The sequence below is a fragment of the Homo sapiens genome, chromosome 4 (genome assembly GCF_000001405.40).
Source record: "Homo sapiens chromosome 4, GRCh38.p14 Primary Assembly".
In the NCBI taxonomy this organism is placed as follows: domain Eukaryota; kingdom Metazoa; phylum Chordata; class Mammalia; order Primates; family Hominidae; genus Homo; species Homo sapiens.
The window spans coordinates 40478030-40499185 of record NC_000004.12 but is presented as its reverse complement, the minus strand read 5'-3'; the positions used below and the strand labels follow the sequence as shown (position 1 = coordinate 40499185).

At 41.1% G+C, this 21156-nt stretch overlaps 1 protein-coding gene and 1 pseudogene across 38 annotated transcripts in view, besides 1 other annotated feature; one reads left to right on the top strand and one right to left on the bottom strand.

Annotated features, from left to right (window-relative positions):
* The window catches only part of RBM47 (RNA binding motif protein 47), a 207573-nt gene that overhangs the window by 131667 nt on the left and 54750 nt on the right, over positions 1–21156 (top strand). The window lies entirely within an intron of this gene.
* On the bottom strand, positions 7161–7451 carry RPL37P14 (ribosomal protein L37 pseudogene 14; annotated as a pseudogene).
* Positions 15658–16194: an enhancer, noted in NCBI's record as "OCT4-NANOG hESC enhancer chr4:40485009-40485545 (GRCh37/hg19 assembly coordinates)". NCBI's record gives its function as "activates a minimal SCP1, AML or CMV promoter by ChIP-STARR-seq in naive H9 embryonic stem cells {active_cell/tissue: H9 hESC(naive)}" and the evidence as "EXISTENCE:reporter gene assay evidence [ECO:0000049][PMID:30033119]".

Below are 21156 nucleotides of genomic sequence, written 5' to 3'. Positions count from 1 at the left end.
GAAGTTTAGAGGGAATAAAATACAAATTCCAATATACCCATCACACAGATTTCTTAGTTATTAAGGTTTTGCTACATTGTGCCATCTATCACTCCCCTTTCCATTCAGCTAAGTCTTCTTTTATTTATTTATTTATTTTTGAGTTGGAGTTTCACTCTTGTTGCCCAGGCTGGAGTGCAATGGTGTAATCTTGGCTCACCGCAACCTCTGCCTCCCAGGTTCAAGCCATTCTCCTACCTCAGCCTCCCAAGTAGCTGGGATTACAGGCATGTGCCACCGTGCCCGGCTAATTTTGTATTTTTAGTAGAGACGGGGTTGCTCCGTGTTGGTCAGGCTGTAACACCTCCAGTTTATAAAGGCACCAAATCACAGTCACATTTATACATTGTGTTAGAAGTGAAAACTTGTATTTTCAGACGCTATGTATAAATGCCTTATACCTTCTTGCAATCAAAAGCTAGCACATCGTACATCAATTGTCATACTTAACAATTTTTTTTTTTTTTTTTTTTTTTGAGATGGAGTCTCTCTGTTGCCCAGGCTGGAGTGCAATGGCGCAATATTGGCTCACTGCAACCTCCACCTTCTGGGTGGATTCTCGTGCCTTAGCCTCCCAAGTAGTTGGGACTTCAGACAAGCACCACCATGCCAGGCTAATTTTTGTCTTTTTAGTAGAGACGGGTTTCCCCATGTTGGCCAGGCTGGTCTCAACCTCCTGACCTCAGGTGATCCCCCCGCAGGGATTACAGGCGTGAGCCACCATGCCTGGCCAAGGCCAATACTTAACAATTTTTAATAGAATGCTGTAGTATAATTTGCTTTTCAAGAATTCCCAAGAGGAATTCCTAAATTTACCAGTAATATAAGTATCTTCAGGAAAGGGAATTTAAAAAAGCATCAATTTTAGGTAACCAGTATTCTGGGGTGTGCATTACTGGAAGGCTCACCTTTGGTTATATGGCCCAAACCAATTGTGTATTCATCAAACTAAGCAGAACCAGCTTGTTCAGTGAAGTACGATCATTTTAAAAATGGGCATTAGAATTTTGAAGTTGGTCTGCTAACAGCGCTCAACATTTGTCTCTGCTTTCTGGAATTAGATAAACATATATATATATATATATATATATAAAACAAGCACTTACATTTTATTTGCAAAATAAAGGAGGCTTACTTTGGTTTTGGTTTTGGTTTTGAGATAGAGTCTTGCTCTGTCATCCAGGCTGGAGGGCAGTGGTGTGATCATGGCCCCCTGAAACCTTGACCTGCCAGGCTCCCAGGCTCAAGTGATCCTCCTGCCTCAGCCTTCCAAGTAGCTGGAACCATAGACATGTGCCACCACACCTGACTAATTTTTTTTTTTTTTTAATTTGCTGTAGAGACAGGGTCTCCCTATGTTGCCCAGGCTGGTTTTGAACTCCTGGGTTCAAGCTATCCTTCTGCCTCAGCCTCCTAAAGTACTGGGACTGCAAGCAAGAGCCAGTGTGCCTGGCCAGGGAGGCTTACTTTGAATTTATAAGTATTTCTCTGGGTTTTGCTAGTTTTTATTTTTATTTATTTATTTAAAATTTTTTAAAAAATTATTTTATTTGAGATAGGATCTCACCCTGTTGCCCAGGCTGCAGTGCAGCCTTGACTTCCTGGACTCAAGCCATCCTCCATCCTCAGCCTCCCGAGTAGCTGGAACTACAGACCACACACTACCACGCTCAACTCATTTTTAATTTTTTGAAGAGAAGGGGGTCCCACTATGTTGCCCAGGCTGGTCTCGAACTTCTGGGCTCAAGCGACCCTCCACCTTGGCCTCTCAAAGTGCTGGGATTACAGGCTTGAGCCACCATGCCCGGCCCTTTGCTTGTTTTTAAATAGTCATATATTTGTACACATGGCAGGATATTAGAAGGATATGAACTGAAAGTACTTTGGATTTTGTCAAAAGCAGGAAAAAAGTAAAGCCAGAAGTAAAGACACACCGAAGTGAGGGACCATCTTTGTAGTGGAGAGGGGTCGAACTTGGGAGTTAAGGCCAGCTGGGATTCAGATCTTGCTGTGCCATTTAATTGCTGTACCTTGTCTTGGGCAAATTCTTTAACAGCTCCATTTTTCCATTTCTTTCTTTCTTTCTTTCTTTTTTTTTTTTTTTTGAGATGGAGTTTTGCTCTTGTTGCCTGGGCTAGAGTGCAGTGGCGTGATCTTGGCTCACCGCAACCTCCGCCTCCCAGGTTCAAGTGATTCTCCTGCCTCAGCCTCCTGAGTAGCTGGGATTATAGGGCATGTGCCACCACGCCTGGCTAATTTTTGTATTTTTAGTAGAGATGGGGTTTCACCATGTTGGTCAGGCTAGTCTCGAACTCCTGACCTCAGGTGATCCACCCACCTTTGCCTCCCAAAGTGCTGGGATTACAGACGTGAGCCACTGTGCCTGGACATTTTTCTGTTTCTTATGCTAAAAGCAGGAATGGTACTACTTTCCAATCCAGGGTGGCTGTAAAGATTAGAGATTACGCATGTAATGTGCTTAGTACGGCCTGACACACTGTAAACTTCGAACAGTGATCGCTGTGGTTGTCTGCTGGTAGAGAGGAAACAGAGTAGCCTAGGTAGCCATTTTGGTTGGTAGCTATTTGGGTTATAGCCAAAATTGGCTGAACAATTGCAATGGTTGGATAAAGAGTTTATGTGAATGTCTGCATAGACAAGTGATTTTTTTTTTCCAGCCTTGGCTACACATTAGACTCACCTGGCTGGGGTGGTGTTAGAGGGTGCTTTTAAAAACTATTGCGGCCCAGGACCCTACAAAGATTCTAGGTTTTTCTCTCTTTGTGTGTGTGTGTGTGTGTGTGTGTGTGTGTGTGTTTAAGTTCTCCAGCCAAGATACAGAATAGTTTAGACCAAGTGACAGTTTGGAAGCTATCACTCCTGCTGGTAGCCTTGCCTTGATTTGTGAGTGAGCCACTGCATAACCCACACAACACAGGTGCTGATCTGATTCAACCCTAGTCAAAAAGTCTTATGGATTTTCCACAGTTTCCTGTGCAAGTTGCCTCCTTGTGGGTTTTGTTCTTTACTCTTGTTTCTTCTCTCTGCCTTTTTTCTCAGAGGAAAGCAGGAGAAGGCAGATGAAATAAAAGGGAATAGAAAGATGGGGATGATCAATTGTTTCTTAGTCCTTTGAGCCATCTCAGTTAACACTGTCAGGACATTAGGCACAGACAAGAGATCGACAGGCAAGAGAGCTTTTCAGGGCAGCATGTAAGCGGCAATCAGCTATAATCAGTGAAAAAGGTTCTCTCCACGAACGTGAGGGTATTCTGTTAGCTTCTACTACAGAGGAAAGAGAGAGAGAGAGAGCGCGCACAATGTGACCACTTTTCAGAAGTTATAAATAAGGAACCTCCAGGAGGAGCCTTCTTTGATTACAATGTGCTTTGTCAATTTTCAGTCTGAGTGCTAGCATGCCTCTTCAAAGAAATGTTAGATTAGCACCACTCTTCTGTTATCCCAAAAACTCTGTAGAAATTATTAAATGTCCTTTTCAGTACAGGGAACGAGTCATAACCTAAACTTTTTTTTTTTCTTTTTTGAGATGAAATTTCACTCTTGTCACCCAGGCTGGAGTGCAGTGGTGTGATCTTGGCTCGCTGCAACCTCTGCCTCATGGGTTCAAGAGATTCTCCTGCATCTGCCTCCCAAGTAGCTGGGACCACAGACACCTGCCACCACACCTGGCTAATTTTTGTATTTTTAACAGAGATGGGGTTTCACCATGTTGGCCAAGCTGTTCTCCAACTCCTGGCCTCAAGTGATCCACCTGCCTCAGGCTCCCAAGGGGATTACAGATGTGAGCCACCATGCCTGGCTGAGTAAAATTTTAGGGAACAAATTGAGGAGGGAAAATGGCAACTTTTCATGAGACCTGGAAAAATAGATGGGAAGAATGGATCAGTTGAGATTTCTATGGGACCTCGGTCATCCCATCCCCATAGTAATATATACCAAGGAAGAGCCAGGGTGAGGCCCTTTGTTAATTCAGAACTTTTGGCTGCAAGTAATAGAAACCTAATCCAAAATAGTTTAAGGGCTGGGCATGGTGGGGCGTGCCTGTAGTCCCAGCTGCTCAGGAGGCTGAGGCAGGAGGATCGCTTGAGCTGGGGAATTCGAGACTAGCCTAGGCAACATAGTGAGACTCCCATCTCTAAAAATAAAGAAAATTTTAAAAATAGCTTAAGGAATCAATCGACAAATGAATGCATCAGATTATATTTATACATATATATTTACCTAACTGGAAATTCCAAAGCATGCAGCATGACATGCTTTGGTCATCAGGACTGTTTTTCTCTATATGTTTTCTGTGTTGGTTTTATTTTCTACCATTCCTGAGGAAAACCTATAGCAGTCTTATCTGCAGGATGAGAAATTCCCCCAAAGGACTCTGATTCACCCTCATGGTACCACACCTGTACCTGTCCCTGGCTTCTGGGGCTTGGAGGGGTCTGTTATTGGTAGACTTGGGAAGGTGAGTGCACAGGAGAAAGCACATATGGGCTACACCTGAGAGCCCTCGTCTCAATGCGGTGCTTTGTTGATCTCTGATTTAGGAATCTCCACATCCTATCCCACAGACTCAGTTGCCCCCAAAGCTGAATGACACCTTGTTCCTTGCCCTCCCACAGATTACTGACTCTCCGGATTATCTCTGTACAGCTGAGCCACTCATTAAGTGGTAGATTTAGCAAGATATTGCTCTGAGGACACTAAGTATTTGACTTGTCTCTACTGACAAACTTTATCATTTCTTGTTTTCACCAAGGGGAAGCCATTTCTAAATATCTAGTCCTAGAAATTAGCATAGAAGTGCAGGAAAGGTCTGATCAGAAGGGACTCATGTTAACATTATCTCACTGCTTTATTTCAAGAGTAAGAAAACCTCTGAAGCAGTGACTGGGGAGGTGGGGGATAAATGCAACATGCCATTCTGCCGTGTATTATAATTATTGAGAACTTGTTTTGTCTTTTCGAGTCATCTGTAAACTTGTTGTAAGTTCAATTTTGTGTCTCTGTTACCCGGTATCACATAAAAGGGGGTCAATAAATATGTGTCCATTGAAGGAAGAATCAAGGATTTCTGACCATTGTTCTTTGGCAAAGTTAGAATTATCAGTTGAAATTCACAGTATTAACCCTAAGACATCAACATTAGTTTGTTATACAATAAATTTATTATAATTAATATCCTTTATTTTTGAGACAGGGTCTCACTCTGTTGCCCAGGCTGGAGTGCAGTGGTGCGATCTTGGCTCACTGCAACCTCTGCCTCCCGGGTTCAAGCAACTCTCGTGCCTCAACCTCCGGAGTAGCTGGGATTACAGGCATGCATCACCATGCCCATCTAATTTTTTTTTTTTTTTTTTGAGACAGGGTCTCACTCTGTCACCCAGGCTGGAGTGCAGTGCCAGCCACTGCAACCTCCGCCTCCCAGGTTCAAGCAGTTCTGCCTCAGCCTCCCAAGTAGCTGGGATTACATGTGCCCACCACCACGCCTGGCTAATTTTTGTACATTTGGTAGAGACAGGGTTTCACCATGTTGGCCAGGCTGGTCTTGAACTCCTGACCTCAGGTGATCTGTCTGCCTTGGCCTCCCAAAGTGCTGTGATTACAGGTGTGAGCCACTGCGCCAGGCCAAAACATATAAATTTTATTTTCTGCATTCCTAGGGCTCTTTGTGAAGAAAGAATTTCACATTCTTTGAGCACTTACCGTGTGCCAAGTGTTCTGTGGACACATTGTCTTACTGAAGTCTTACATCCACCCCAGAATGCCTTCTTCCTCCTCCTCAACCATGAAGAGAATTAATCCCTCCTGCCTCCTTAATGCCACCTGTCATGGCCTTTATCACACTGCATTGGAATTTGTTTGCATTTCTATATCTCCTACTACACTATGAGTTTTTCAATGACAGTCTACATGTGTCATTCAGGTTGTAACCTCGGCACCCAGCTCATAGGGGGAATCCTATAAATATATCTTGAAATTGGGTATTATGTGATCTTCATTTGACAAAGTTGACATCGTAGGCTTGCCTGGGGTTCCTAAGTGGAAAATGACAGGGCTAGTTTTTGAGCTTCTCTGTGCCACACTCCAAAGCCTGTTTTCTTTCTGTCTTCTTTGCTTAATGTTTGCTTTGTTTAGCTTGGTTGCTTGGGAATATTGGAAAGCAACATTGAGATAATGAGGGTGATGGAGGAGGGGAAGCAGAAGGGGAAGATGCAGGGGAGTTGCTGCCTGCTGAGGCTGGGAAGGGAGGCTAATTATGCATTGCTCAGTTAAGCAATGCTCCAGCCCCCTGATTCCCATCCTCATCACACTGCACACTCGTGTGTGCGCGTACACACACACACACACACACAGGTCATGATGGGAGTGCTGAGTGAACAGGGACCAGGGAAGCATTTTCTTGGAAAGCTATTCACTGTGAGAACAAAGAGCTGGGACACAAAGCCAGGCAGCCATTGGGACATAAAAATTGTGTCATAAGGAAACTTCTCTGTAAGATAATTCTGCATGGTGAGGTTTTTAGTGATAAGGTTCTAGTCTGAAGTGAAATTAGTGGAGAACATGGAACATGGACATCATGGCATCCACAGGTGCATGCCTGAGCTTTGTTCCTTGGAAACAATGATCGGAACAGGAGAGGTGTCATGGGAGCCTTTGAAATGTGCCCTTCTGAAGTGGAGGGTAATAAGTGGCAGCATCTGCCATACTTCTCCCACTCTCGCAAAGTGTGACTTCATTATTTTTTTCTTTTCTTTACTTTTTTTTGGACACAGGGTCTCGCTCTGTCACCCAGGCTGGAGTGCAGTGGCACAATCACTGCAGCCTCAACCTCGGGGGCTCAAGTGATTCTCCCACCTCAGCCTCCGAAGTAGCTGGGACTACAGGCGCATACCCCCAGGCCTGGCTATGTTTTTGTATTTTTCATAGAGATGAGGTTTCGCCATGTTGCCCAGGCTGGTCTCGAACTCCTGAGCTCAAGTGATCTGCCTATCTCTGCCTCCCAAAGTGCTGGGATTACAGGCGTGAGCCACCGTGCCTAGCCTTTTTTCAGTTCAGGTTTTAAACCAGAACCTTTATGGCATGACTAATCACTGAAATTCGTGAGATAAGCTGGATGTTGCAATAGCTGCCTTCTTGGGTTTATGTGTTGTTCTTTCACAGAATCCATGCCTGAATCTGCAGTGTGCAATTTTTAGGCGCCCCATATGATCAGTCCTGGTGGTGTTTCAACTTTTAGCCTTGATACTTCAGTTACACTTTCTCTTGCACTTGGCAATGTAGCCACATTTGCCACAGGTTGACTTCTGAAGGTGGTAGGCTTCAGAGCCACAGCGGTGGCACATCGTGTGCATCTTATTGCGATGCTTTCCAGACGATGACGTTCTCTTTGTCATTTGGCTTCTGCAGCTGAGACCAAAGAGTGTGTGTAGCTTTAGAGAAATGTCTGTTCAGACTCTTTACCTATCTTTAAGTTGGGTTATTTGTCTTATTCATTATTGAGTTGTAGGAGTTCTTTATATATTCTAGATACAAGGCTATTATCAAATATACATCTGCAAATATTTTCTCTCATTTTGTAAGTTGTCTTTCCTTTCTTAATGGTGTCCTTTGAGAAATAAAGCTTCCCATTTTGACAAAGGACAATTTCATTATTTTTTCTTTTATTGCTGTGTTTATCATATTTGAAAGGTATCATATCTAAAAGGCTGCTGCCTACCTGAGCTAAGGTCATGAAGATTTATACCCATGTTTTCTTCCAAGAGTTTTACAGTTTTAGCTCTTATGAGGTGGTTGATCTATAATGATTTAATTTTTGTATATGATATGAATTAGGGGTCCAACTCTATTCTTTTGCATTGTGCGTATCCAGTTATTAAAGCATAATTTCTTCAAAAGACTATTCCCATCAAATAGTCTTGGCACCCTTGTCCGGAATCGATTGACCACAGATACATGTTTTGGGTTTTTTCCCTGAACTCTCATTTCGAATCTATTGTCCTATGGCCATCCTTATGCCAGTACCACGCTGCCCACCCTCCCCGCACCTTATGGTTTTCCCCTAAGATTTCTGCACCCTATACACTGTCTCGTTTACTGTAGCTTTGTAGTAAATTTTGAAACCTGGAAGGGTGAGTCCTTGAGCTTTGTTCTTCTTTTTCAAGTTTGTTTTGGCTATTCTGGGCCCCTTGAATTTCTGTAGGAATTTTAGTATCCATTTATCAATTTTTTTTCCCAGAAACTAGCTGAGATTTTGATGGGAATATTGTGTTGACTCTGTAGATCAGATCGAGGAGTATTGTCATTTTAGCAGCGTTCAGTCTTCTATTCATGAACAAGCAGTGTCTTTCCATTTATTTAGATTTTTTTTCTCTCTTTTTTTTTTGAGACAGAGTCTCACTTGTCAGGCTGGAGTGCAGTGGCGCGATCTCTCCTCACTGCAACCTCCGCCTCCCGGGTTCAAGTGATTCTTATGTCTCGGCCAGGCGCCACCACGCCCGGCTAATTTTTGTATTTTTAATAGATGGCCTAGATCTTTGATTTCTTTGAACAATGTTTTGTAGTTTTAACACTTGTATTATTTTTGATGCTATTGTAGATGAAATTGCTTTGTTAATTTTATATTTTAGTTTGTTCATTGCTAGTAGATAGAAATTTATAATTGATTTTTCTATATTGCTTTTATGTCCTGCAACCTTGTTGAACTTGATTATTAGTTCTAATAATTTTTTAATGGATTCCTTAGGTTTTTTACATGTAATTGACTACGTCATCTATGAACAGAGTTTTATTTCTTCCTTTCCCATATGGATCCCCTTTCTTTCTTTTTTTTTCTTTTTCCTTTTTTTCTATTTATCCTGGCTAGAAACAAGTACAATGTTGCATATAGAAGTTGAGAGAGTGCAAATCCTTGTTGCTGTTCTTCATGGGGAGAGCATTCAGTCTTTTTCACATTAAGTGTATTAGTCATGGGTTTTTTGTAGATGTTATTTATCAGATTGAAGAAGTTCCCTTCTGCTTTAATATGTTGTGTTTTAGTTATGAAGGGTTGGTGCATTGTATCAAATGCTTTTCTGGCAGCTATTCAGATTACTGTGTATAGTTTTTGTCTTTTGTTGATATGGTGTATTGCACTGATTGATTTTCATCTGTTAAGCTATCTTGCATTTCTGGGTTAAATCAGACTTGGTCATGTTGCTGAATTCAGTTTATTAGTATTTAGTTGTGTATTTTTAAAAAGTCCATATGCATAAGACATATTGATTTGTCATTTTCTGATAACTTTGTCTGTATTTTCTATGCATGTAATACTGGCCTCAGTGGGAAGTGTTCTAGTCCCTTCTGTTTTTTGGAAGAATTTGTGAAGGATTGGTGGTAATTAGACTTTAAAACATTTGATAGAATCCTCCAGAGAAGTCATCTGTTCTTGGGCTTTTCTTTGTGGAAAATTTTTATGTTACAAATTCAGTGTATTTACTTATAAGTCTATTCAGATATTCTATTTCTTCTTGAGTCTATTTTGGCCCTTTGCATCTTTCTAGGAATTTCTCCTCTACATGTAGGTTATCTAATTTGCTGGCATATAATTGTTCATAGTATTTCTTTGCTATCCTTTTTATTTCTAGAAGGTCAGTAGTGTTGTCACTTCTCTTATCCCTGAGTTTAGTAAGTTGAGTCTTTTCATTTCTTTGTCATTCTAGCTAGTGGTTTGTCAATGTTGTTGCTCTTTTCAAAGAACCAACTTTTGGTTTTATTAACTTTTATTTTGTTTTTATAGTCCGTATTTGCTTTATTCCCACCTAAATCATTATTATTTCCTTCCTTAATCTGTTTCAGATTTATTTTGCCCTTCTTTTTTCTGGCTTCTTAAACTGAAAGCTTAGATTGTTTACTGTATTTTAACTGTTATCTCCATTCCCCCAAGCTCCATTTTACAGGACAGTTTGTGAGTATGAGTGACCAATGCTGAAACAGTCAGGGCATGCAAACTTTCTCCTTTGGGGACAGAGTTACAGGGCAACTGAATACATGAGGGGGGCATACAGAGTACAGTTGACACAGCTGTTTCATTATGGTGCAGTCCATATAGCATTGTGATTCTGGGGCAAAAACTTGGGCTCTGGGGTTTGGGAACCTGGATATGAGTTCTACATCTGCCACCTAATAGTTGTGAGACTTTGAACACTTATTTAATCTTTGTAAGCCTCAGTCTCCACATCTGCAAAATAGCAGAAAGATAATTAGTACCTCATAGGATTGTCGTGAGGATTAAATGAAATAGCATATGTGAAGCACCCAGAACTGGTGGTAACAACTGTTCAATAAAGATTAACTATTCTAATCTGGTTGTTGTTGTTAGGTCAGATGGGCCTTTGCTGAGTCAACTCCATGTAAAGTAGCTACAGAGCTTGTTGTTGTGTTTCCATTAGTTTGTACCTCTTTGCCAACCATCTATGAACTCTCCTGTATGTACTACCAGGGTGGACCTCACCTGCATTTGCTACCAGGTGCTGAGATACACTTCTCACTTGCGGTTGCAAAGCTCAGGATGTTATTTCCAAATGAGCTCTTTTCTCAGACCAATTGCCGGCCTTGCTTATTTGATCATCCACCCATATTACAATGATGATATGAGAACAAATGAAGGTATGAGAAGAAAATATTTTCCTAAACAAATTTGAGGCATGCTTGGGGTGGAAGTACCATAAATTATGAAAATGGTGCGCACTGAAAAGTTCTAATTTTCATTTTATAGCGTCTCAAGTTCTCCCCCTTCCCCCCCACCCTTTTTTTTTTCTTTTGAGACAGAGTCTCGCTCTGTCACCTAGGCTGGAGTGCAGTTGTACAATCTCGGCTCACTGCAACCTCTGCTCACTGCAGCCTCTGCCTCCCGGGTTCAAGTGATTCTTGTGCCTCAGCCTCCTGAGTAGTGGCGATTACAGGTGCGCACCACTACACTGGCTAATTTTGTAGTAGAGGCTGGGTTTCACCATGTTGGCCAGGCTGGTCTTGAACTCCTGATCTCAGGTGATCCACCTGCCTTGGCCTCCCAGAGTGCTGGGATTACAGGTGTGAGCCACCGTGCCCAGCCTCTCTCTCTCTTTCTTTCTTTCCCTCACCCCTAACTCTTATTAATCCCTTTCATCAAAAGCTTCACTAAAGAACAGAAAGGATGTGCGTTCCGTTTTTTTCCCTCCTCTGGCCCTGTAGGTGCAGAGAAATTACAAAATACTAGGCTATACATAGGGGAAAAGTAAGAAAAATTCATTAGCATATAAATTGATAACCAGCTTTCTTTGGTCTATCCATCAACATGAATTTTATCCAAGTAGATTTATTTTTTTGGAAGACTAAATTTAGTGTGAATAATCAATAATATATTAATAACAATTAAATTTGATTTATCTCTTCATACTTGGGGCTTGCCATTCTTATTCTTTGTGTAGCTATGCTTACGAAGTGTTATGCCAGGACGTGAAAGGTGAGCACAGAGGGGTGCCTAGTTGACTGTCTGGTTTTTGATAAAAAAAGAAATGATGAGGCCAAGCATGGGGGCTGACGCCTGTTATCCCAACAATTTGGGAGGCCAAGGTGGGTGGATCACTTGAGGTCAGGAGTTCAAGACCAGCCTGACTAACCAGGTGAAACCCTGTCTCTACTAAAAAATACAAAAATTAGCTGGGCATGGTTGTGCACACCTGTAGACCCAGCTACTCAGGAGGCAGGAAAATCACTTGAACCTGGGAGGTGGAGTTTGCAGTGAGCCGAGATCGCGCCACTGCACTCCAGCCTGGGCGACCGAGTGAGACTCCATCTTTAAAAAAAGAAAAGAAAAGAAATGATGATGTAGAGCTGAAATTACCAACATCATCAGATGGAGGAGTCCTTGAGGAAATCTGAGTTCCCAAGATGCCAATTCCTTTGGGGTCTTTTTTGTTGCTTTCGGTTCCATCTGCCAATCCCCATGAAGGCTCCACTGAGTCTAAAAGAGCTAACAGATGACCCTTGACCATCCTAAGGTTGCTCATTGTGTCTGTCCCTCTTGGGGGAGCACAGAGAATAATTTTTTGTGGCTACTGAAATCTTAGGACTCTTCCAGTTTAAGTAAGTCTTAAAGAAATACTGGCCTTGACTTTAGGATCCAAAATAAACCTGAATCCTTGTGAGTGTCTAGACAACAACTATAGAAAACAGCAACAATCAGAGATCACCTGACAGTTAAGAACTGGCTAAAAATGTTTGCACATTACCAAGATCAAGCAACATATAAATTACCCAGAGACATAGAATGAATGTTGCATAAATGCCTTTGTTATTAAACAGGATGTGTGCTCTGTTGAATCATAGTTACATGGGGGAAGTCCTCCTGCCTGAACTTCTAAATTTATGGGAATCACAGTCAAGGTTGCTCAATCCATGTGCCCTCTACCCAACCCTCACCCCATTTCCTCTAAAGATCCTCTACTGGGGGTAAGATTTTACAACTTCCATTTAAATCTGTGATGGGGTTTCACCATATTGACCAGTCTGGTCTCGAACTCCTGACCTCAAGTCATCACCCACTTTGGCCTCCTAAAGTACTGGGATTACAGGCATGAGCCACCACACCCAGCCCAAATTTAAAAATTTTTGCTGATATAGTAGGACTCACTGTTTCGATTTCTATCTATTTTAATCAGACAAAGTTTGATTTGAATAGAGTTGAACTATTTTCATGTTTATTCATCATAGAATCTTGTTTTTCTGCAAACTGCCTGCTGATATCTTTGCTCGTATGTATTGTGTTGTATTTTTTTGTTGATACGGAAGCACTCTGGCATATTAAGGAAATTGGCTCTTTAATGACACACTCCTAATTGTAGTTTGTCTTTGATTTTGTTTTAATAAATGTTTTAAAATTCCATTTAATGCTCAGTTCTTGGAAAAAGGAAGAGTGATTGGGACCAATGTTTAGTTCAATTTGAAATTCAGATAAATAATCAGTTTCTTCCTTAGCTACTGTATTTAGTTTCTAAACTCTTCACACTAAGCTCTTTTTTTTTTTTTTTTTTTTTTTTTTTTGAAACAGGGTTTTGCTCTGTTGTCCAAGCTAGAATGCAGTGGTCCAAATATGGCTCACTACAGTTGGAGCTTCCGGGCTCAAGCAGTTCTCCCACCTCACACCCCCAAGTAGTTGGGACTACAGGCGCATGCCACCATGCCTAGCTAATGTTTGTATTTTTTTTTTTTTTTTTACACAGATGGCCTTTTGCCATGTTGCCCAGGCTGGTCTCAAACTCCTGGACTCAAGCAATCCGCCCACCTCAGCCTCCCAAAATGCTAGGATTACATGAGTGAGCCACCCTACCCGGCCTATTTTCTCTTTATAACAGTATATTCTCATATTAATGTGTTGTCCCAATTTTTAAAATTGTCTATTTGAGTAATTATCCAGAATCATGACTGACACTACCATTTTCATTAATACTTTAGATCAAAGTAATTCTCACTTAATTCTTATAGTAATTTCACCTGACACTTGGGGACTGGTAATTTTAGCATTGGTGTTTCTAAAAACATACTGTGATAAGCTGCTCCATCACCATGTATTTGGTTTCTTTGTCTATAAAACTAAAGCCAGAGAAATGAGGTGCTTGACAAAGCATTGAGGTGTCAAGGGGCACATACAGATTTCAAATTGGAATCCTGGAACAAACATGGTAGGAGAACAGAAGAGGGTCCCATCTGCATATTCTTACTGCTTAGATAAAGCAGCTGTCGACTTGGCTTTCCTTTATCCTGACTTTCCAGAGTTGTTCACCAAACAGGTAACAAGATTGAGCTTTAAGTCTTTATTTCATATTGATTCTTCATAAATTAAATTATCTTATGACTTATGGCTCCATGTTGTAAGTAAAAAGTCATTTGACCAACTGTTTGGAATTCTTGTCAATAACAATTATTGAGCACCCATGTTAGTGAATTTCTGTGTGTGTGCACTGGGTGGTGAGAAAAGGTTGAGAGCAAATACCTTGGGTATACTTTGTAAGGAACCATGATCAGCTTGTCATGCAAACATATGACAACTGTGCAAACATTTTTTACAAGAGACAGTCTTAACAAAAACAAAAAAGAAAAAGAAAACAAACAAAAAAAAAGAGACAATCTTAAACTTTGTGTATAAGCTTTAATTTTCAAATGTAGAATCAGAAGCATTGCTGTTTAGGCAATGTTGTGATGAAACAGGAATCAAATTTGATCCCAAATGACAAATACACAATTGCCAAATATCTAGAAAAGAAGAAATGCTGAAGTGGTGTGGCAGTGAGTAAAGTTGTGTTGAGAAAGATAGATACCTGGATAAAAAAAATCCTTTTGGAGGAAGGTGATTCTAGAAGAGAGTTACAAAGGAAAATAAGAATCTGGTAGATAGAGAAGGAAGGAAGGTAGTCTTGGAGATTTTGTGTGTAGCTGTGTATCTGTTGAGGTTGAAGGGAACAAAGGGAAATTATGCAGTGATTTGTCATCATAAGTTAACCAGAGATTTGCAGCTCATGATCAAAAGCCTGCAATGTTATGGATGACCAAGGATCACCTCAAATTCCCTTCATGGGAGTAACATGATCCCAACCATACCTAAGGAAAATGGTTCATCCTACTGCTTTCAGGATGGTTAGCAGGGAAAGGTGTCAGCTAGGAAACCCAATGGGTGGGGGTGGGAGGTTGTGCATGGTTAGTGCTGAACTAAATCAGGAAGAAAGGAAAAGAAAGGAATTGGCAGAATGTAATGATGGGTCGAAATGGAGAGAATGAGGGACAGAACAAATAGGTTCGTTTTATCAAATCATTAAAATTTTGCTGATCAAAGTCATATATGTTACAGATATTTAACATACATGTGTTACATATGTATTTTAATCACCCATATTCATATTCTTACTCTCCAGAGACGACCACTGTCAATATTTTGTTATATTTTTCTACATTTGATTACTATAATATCAGTAGAAATTGTACCCTACATAAAGTTTTCTCTACTCTCTTTTTTCTTAAGCTCACATATTGTGAACCTTTACTCATGACATTAAATTCTTCATAAATGTAATTTTTAGTGGCTGGTGTGTCACCATTTATTTAACCATTCCTATAAGGATTGTTTCTCAATGTATTATAAAGAATTCTGAGATAAATATCTTTGGATGTAAACATGCTTTTTTTCTTATTTCTTAAGGATAGATTTATAATAACATCATTGCTAAGTAAAAAGAATAAACATTTCCAGGCTCTTCAAATACACTATGCAATTTCTTTTTTAGAAGGGTTTTGATGCTTTCATACTTGTTTTACTGAAGTGTGACACTTAATCACTATTAAGTATTTTAGCTAATTTTATTGGTTGATTAAAAAATGATAGTGTATTGTATTGTACTGTATTGTATTGTATTTTTGTTCTTTTGAGATGGAGTCTTGCTCTGTCACCCAGGCTGGAGTCCAGTGGCACAATCTCAGCTCACTGCAACCTCTGACTCCCGGGTTCAAGCAATTCTCCTGTCTCAGCTTCCCGAGTAGCTGGGATTACCGGCGTGAGCCAATGCACCCGGCTGCACACCAGTGATCTTAAAAAACAGAAAAGCAGATCACAGCGCTTCTCTGCTCAGAATCCTCCAATCAGCCAAGGAGAACTTGAAGTCCTCTCCTGGGTGTTATAACGCTCCCATCTGACCCCTGCCTGTCTCGCTCCCTCTGCTTCCGCTACCCCGCCCCTTTCTTGTTGTTCTGTTCTTCAGGGACTCCTCTGCCTGTCACCATCCAATCTTCGGGGTCTAGAACAAAGCCACGCATAGTAGGATCAATAGCCATTGTTGAACGATTGAGTGACTCTTGCAACCAATTCAAAATTGAATGCCTTGCCAAGTTACCATTTGCTCATGGAAAATCAGGCTCATTGTGTCGAAACGATTTGCTTCACTAGCATTTTATGTTGTTCTTTTTCCTGAGCTTATACTCCTCGCTAATTTTAGCATCCCGTCTAAACTGATCAGCCTTGGAGTTGACCTTTTAAAGATGTTCTCGTGTTTCTAATTTCACCTGTAATCATTAATAGCGTAACCAGTATTTATAGATCCATCGCAGCTAAAGTTTTAGTGTTTGATTTTTTTCGAATGATTTCAATTATTTCCATATTGCTTTCAAATTTCTTTAGAATATCTACTTTTATTTTTCAAAAAATAAGAGCTCCCTTTTCAAAGTGGTAAAATAATATGTTGAACAGGTAACTAGGCTTAAATAAGAACTGAACCACAAGGTCTTAAGAAGAAAAATTTTCAAAGATTTTTAGACTCCACATAACTCATTTAGTTACTTGCTAGCTTATCAAGCTCCTGAAAAATTTCCGTTTCTTGGCTGATTATAAAATATGTCTAAGGTTTATTCCAATTTTAGGAATACTCAATTCTTGAAATAAGGAACATTCTTCAGGAAAGAGGTGTTTTACTTTTTAAATCACAAAGTAAACAAATACAGAGAATACATATTTTGAAGTGTAGGATTTTGTGATTGCCTCTGTTTGTAACCTGATGCAATTGTAAATAAGAATGCAGGCTAGGCCAGGTGCTTACACCTGTAATCCCGGCACTTTGGAAAGCAGAGGCAGGTGGATTACCTGAGGTCAGGAGTTCAAGACGAGCCTGGCCAACATGGTGAAACCCCACCTCTACTAAAAATACAAAAATTAGCCGGGTGTGGTAGCATGAACATGTAGTCCCAGCTACTTGGGAGGCTGAGGTGGGAAAATGGCTTGAACCGGGGAGGCGGAGGTTGTAGTGAGCTGAGATCGCGCCACTGTGCTCCAGCTTGGGTGACACAGTGAGACCCTGTCTCAAAAAATTAAAAAAATAAGATAAAAAAGGGAATGCAGGCTAGTTATACCTCCTCCAGGAAGCTTTCCCCATGGACTCTGATCTGTCTTAGCAATACTCTTCACCTGATTGTGGTGGCTCCCATTGTCTGGATAGCACATGCTGTTCCATTTCTGTGTATTCTATATGTTGTAATTATCAGACATTTAATGATCTCTCCAAGAGGATTATTAGCTCCCAGTTAATAGAAATCACATCATGGCCAGGTACGGTGGCTCACACCTGTAATTTAATAGAAACCACATCATGGCCGGGCGCAGTGGCACATGCCTGTAATCACAAGTACTTTGGGAGGTTGAGGCCGGTGGATCGCCTGAGGTCAGGAGTTCGAGACCAGCGTGGCCAACATGGCGAAACTCCATCTCTATTAAAAATACAAAAAGGCTGGATGCGGAGGCTCACGCCTGTAATCCCAACACTTTGGAAGACCAAGGCGGGCGGATCGCTTGAGGTCAGGAGTTTAAGACCAGCCTGGCCAACATGGCAAAACCCTGTCTCTACCAAAAATATAAAAATTAGCTGGGCATGGTGGCGCACACCTGTAATCCCGGTTACTCTAGAGGCTGAAGCAGGAGAATTGCTTGAACCTGGGAGGCAGAGGTTGCAGTGAGCTGAGATCATGCCACTGCACTCTAGCCTGGGCAACAGAGCGAGACTCCGTCAAAAAAAAAAAAAGCCACATCATGATCCAGGTCTTTGACTGCACTTCCCCAGGGCTTGAGTACATCTCAAAAATAAAAATAAAAATAATAATAATAATAATAATAATAATAATAATAATAATAATACAAAAATTAGCAGGGAATGGTGACATTCACCTGTAGTCCCAGCTACTCTGGAGGCTGAGGCAGGAGAATTGCTTGAACCTGGGAGGCAGATGTTACAGTGAGCCAAGGTCACGCCGCTGCACTCCAGCCTGGGTGACAGAGTGAGACTCCATCTCAAAAAAAAAAAAAAGAAAGAAACAACATATGATCCAGGTCTTTGACTGCACTTCCCCAGGGCTTGAGTACATCTCGGGATATTATAGAAAGTGCTACTTAAACACCAGTTGAAATGGAAGAGCATAGTACTTGATAAATCCAGAATGTTAGGGGATTTTTGTGGCAATTTTGAGGAAATTATTAAAATATCATTTGATTATTAAAGAGTAAAACTCACAAAATACTTGGCAAAACCACACACTTCCTGAGCCCTTGTTAACCTGACTGCCTTGTTCCTCCTGGCTCAGGAGGAAATATATCTACTTTTCATATTATGACAATGTAGCTGGCTTTTCCTTAGCACAAGTGGAAGAAAGGGCTATAATGTTACACATGATATGTGACTTGGTAATAGGTGTCTTCTCTCCACCAGCATTCAATATGTATTCTGAACTTTCTCTTTTTAAGATTAAGAAGTCTGTTAAAACTACCACAGAATCTATTAGGTAAATACTAATAATTACTTAGCTTATCAGATGCTACATTTTGCTGTGTTAGAGGGACAGACAGAAAGGGATCGCCATAAAATCTAGCAGGTTTCTAAGAATTAATGAAGAGTGCTGCCTCGGGTAGAGGAAGGGCTTAGAGAGAAAATGCAAAGAGAATTCTCTTTAGATTCAAATTAGATTTTGTGGCTTTCTTAACTTATGGTTTCATTCATTGAACATTAAAGGGTTTCCTACTTAGCTCCAAAGATGCCATCTCAAAGTTCCAAAGTTTTTCTGGGTTAGTACAGAAGTTCCTGTCCCTGGCAGGCTGACAGAGCAGCAAGGTGAAACATGGGTAGGTAGGTAGAGAGGTAGCTAATTAGGAGGAAAGAAAGAAGATTATCTACTTAGCTTGAGGCGGTAAAGTGTGATCTCTAAGAGCCAGAATGCCTGGGTTTGAATCCTCACTCCACTACTTATTTGCTGGCTGTTGGTCTTGGACCAATTACTTTATTTCTTGTTTTCTCATCTATAAAATGGAGATGAGGCTGAGCGCGTGGCTCACGGCTGTAATCCTAACACTTTGGGAGGCCGAGGCAGATGGATCACCTGAGGTCAGGAGTTCGAGACCAGCCTGACCAACGTAGTGAAACCCTGTTTCTACTGAAAATACAAAAATTAGTCAGGCATGGTGGCGGACACCTGTAATCCCAGCTACTCAGGAGGCTGAGGCAGGAGAATCACTTGAACCTGAGAGGTGGAGGTCGCAGTGAGCTGAGATCACAGAATTGCATTCCAGCCTGGGCAACAAGAATAAGACTCCGTCTCAAAAAAAAAAAAAAAAAAATGGAGATGATACTAGTACCTGCCTCAACCTATGTATGGGGGTTGCCTGTGTTAATATATGCGAAACACTTAGAACAGTGCCTGGTGAAGGACAAGGGCTGTATGTAGGAGTTAGCTATAGTTATTTTATTACAGGTGGATGTGATGAATAATTTTAATCTTTAAAACAGTTGTACCTCTGGGCACAATGGTGCAGCTGTAGTCCCAGCTACTTAGGAGGCTGAGGGAGGAGGATCGCTTGAGCCCAGGAGTTCTAGACCAGCCTGAGCAACATAGCTAGACTCTATCACAAAACAAAAATGAGTAAATAAACCAAGGATGCCAATTGAGAAGGTACCATTTTATTTATATTTATATATTTATTTATTTATTTATTTATTTTTGAGACAGGATCTCACTCTGTCATCCAGTCTGGAATGCAGTGATGCAGTCATGGCTCACTGCAGCCTCAACCTCCCAGGCTCAAACAAGCAATTTTCCCGAGTAGCTGGGACCACAGGCATATGTCACCATGCCCTGCTAATTTTTTTATTATTTGTAGAGATGGGGTCTCACTATGTTCCCCAGGCTGGTCCTGAACTCCTGGGCTCAAGCAATCCTCCTGTCCTGGCCTCCCAAAGTGCTGGGATTATAGGCATGAGCCACTGTATCCAGCCTACCATTTTAAATTTTAAAAGGACAGCCCACAGATCCTTCCTAATGTCCAGATAAGGAACACTCATTTCAGATATGACAATGTCCATTGTTTAATTCTTCCTTCTCTGTGACTGTTGATGCTATAATAGGATAATAGACAAATTAACCGAAAGAAAATACTATGGTGCTTTAATCATATAGGCTTGTGGATACTGCTTTATACTTCATCTGTTTTTCAATACTGGTTAATTAGCTTCTTAGCCAACTATTATTGCTGATACCACCAATACAGTTATGTGATTTCATTATCAGTGTTTGACACCTTTTCAGGTGAAGGCTACCATCTGAATGTCTATGCGCACACATATGTGCAATTTCTTTTATGCTTTAGTCATGTGTTAATACAATAAACAGTTTCAGCAAAGGCTTGAAATTCTAAATAGTGTCAAATATACTTGTGGAAAATGATATGCTACTACTATATACAAAAGCAAATACACACATAATCTTTGCATTGGCTATATCTTAGCTTTTAGATAATTAAACTAAAAAGTAGGCTGGGCATGGGGGTTCATGTCTAATCTCAGCATTTTGAGAGGCCAAGGCAGGCAGATCACTTGAGCCTAGCATTTCGAGACCAGCCTGGGTAACATAGCAAGACCTGTCTCTAAAAATAAGAAAGTAATAACTAATAATAATAACTCTCTTACCAGGATGCCACAGTGGCCTTAATAGATCCTATCTGAAATAGGCCACATAATCATGTCTTACTATGCTCCATTTCTTCCTCTCCTGGACCTGAGTCCTGTTTCTTACCCCTTTTTCCAAATCTACCTCAGAGCTTATCTCATCCCAGGCTTCTGTTTTGCGTCTGTACTTTTTTTTCCTTTTCTCCACAGCCTCAGACCTCAGAACTGCCTGCTGTCACTCTACTCTAAATCAAAGATGCTTTGTAAAAGACAAAGGATCACTCCTCCAGGGATGATTTAAGCTTGTTGCAAGCCAGAGCTATACAGAAGTTAATGTGACCGGGTGTGGTGGCTCAGGCCTATAATCCCAGCACTTTGGGAGGCTGAGGCAGGTGGATCACCTGAGGTCGGGAGTTCAAGACCAGCCTGACCAACATGGTGAAACCCCGTCTCTACTAAAAATACAAAATTATCCGGGCGTGGTGGCGCATGGCTGTAATCCCAGCTACTCGGGAGGCTGAGGCAGGAGAATCGCTTGAACCCAGGAGGCGGAGGTTGCGGTGAGCCAAGATCGCGCCACTGCACTCCAGCCTGGGTAATAAGAGCAAAACTCTGTCTCAAA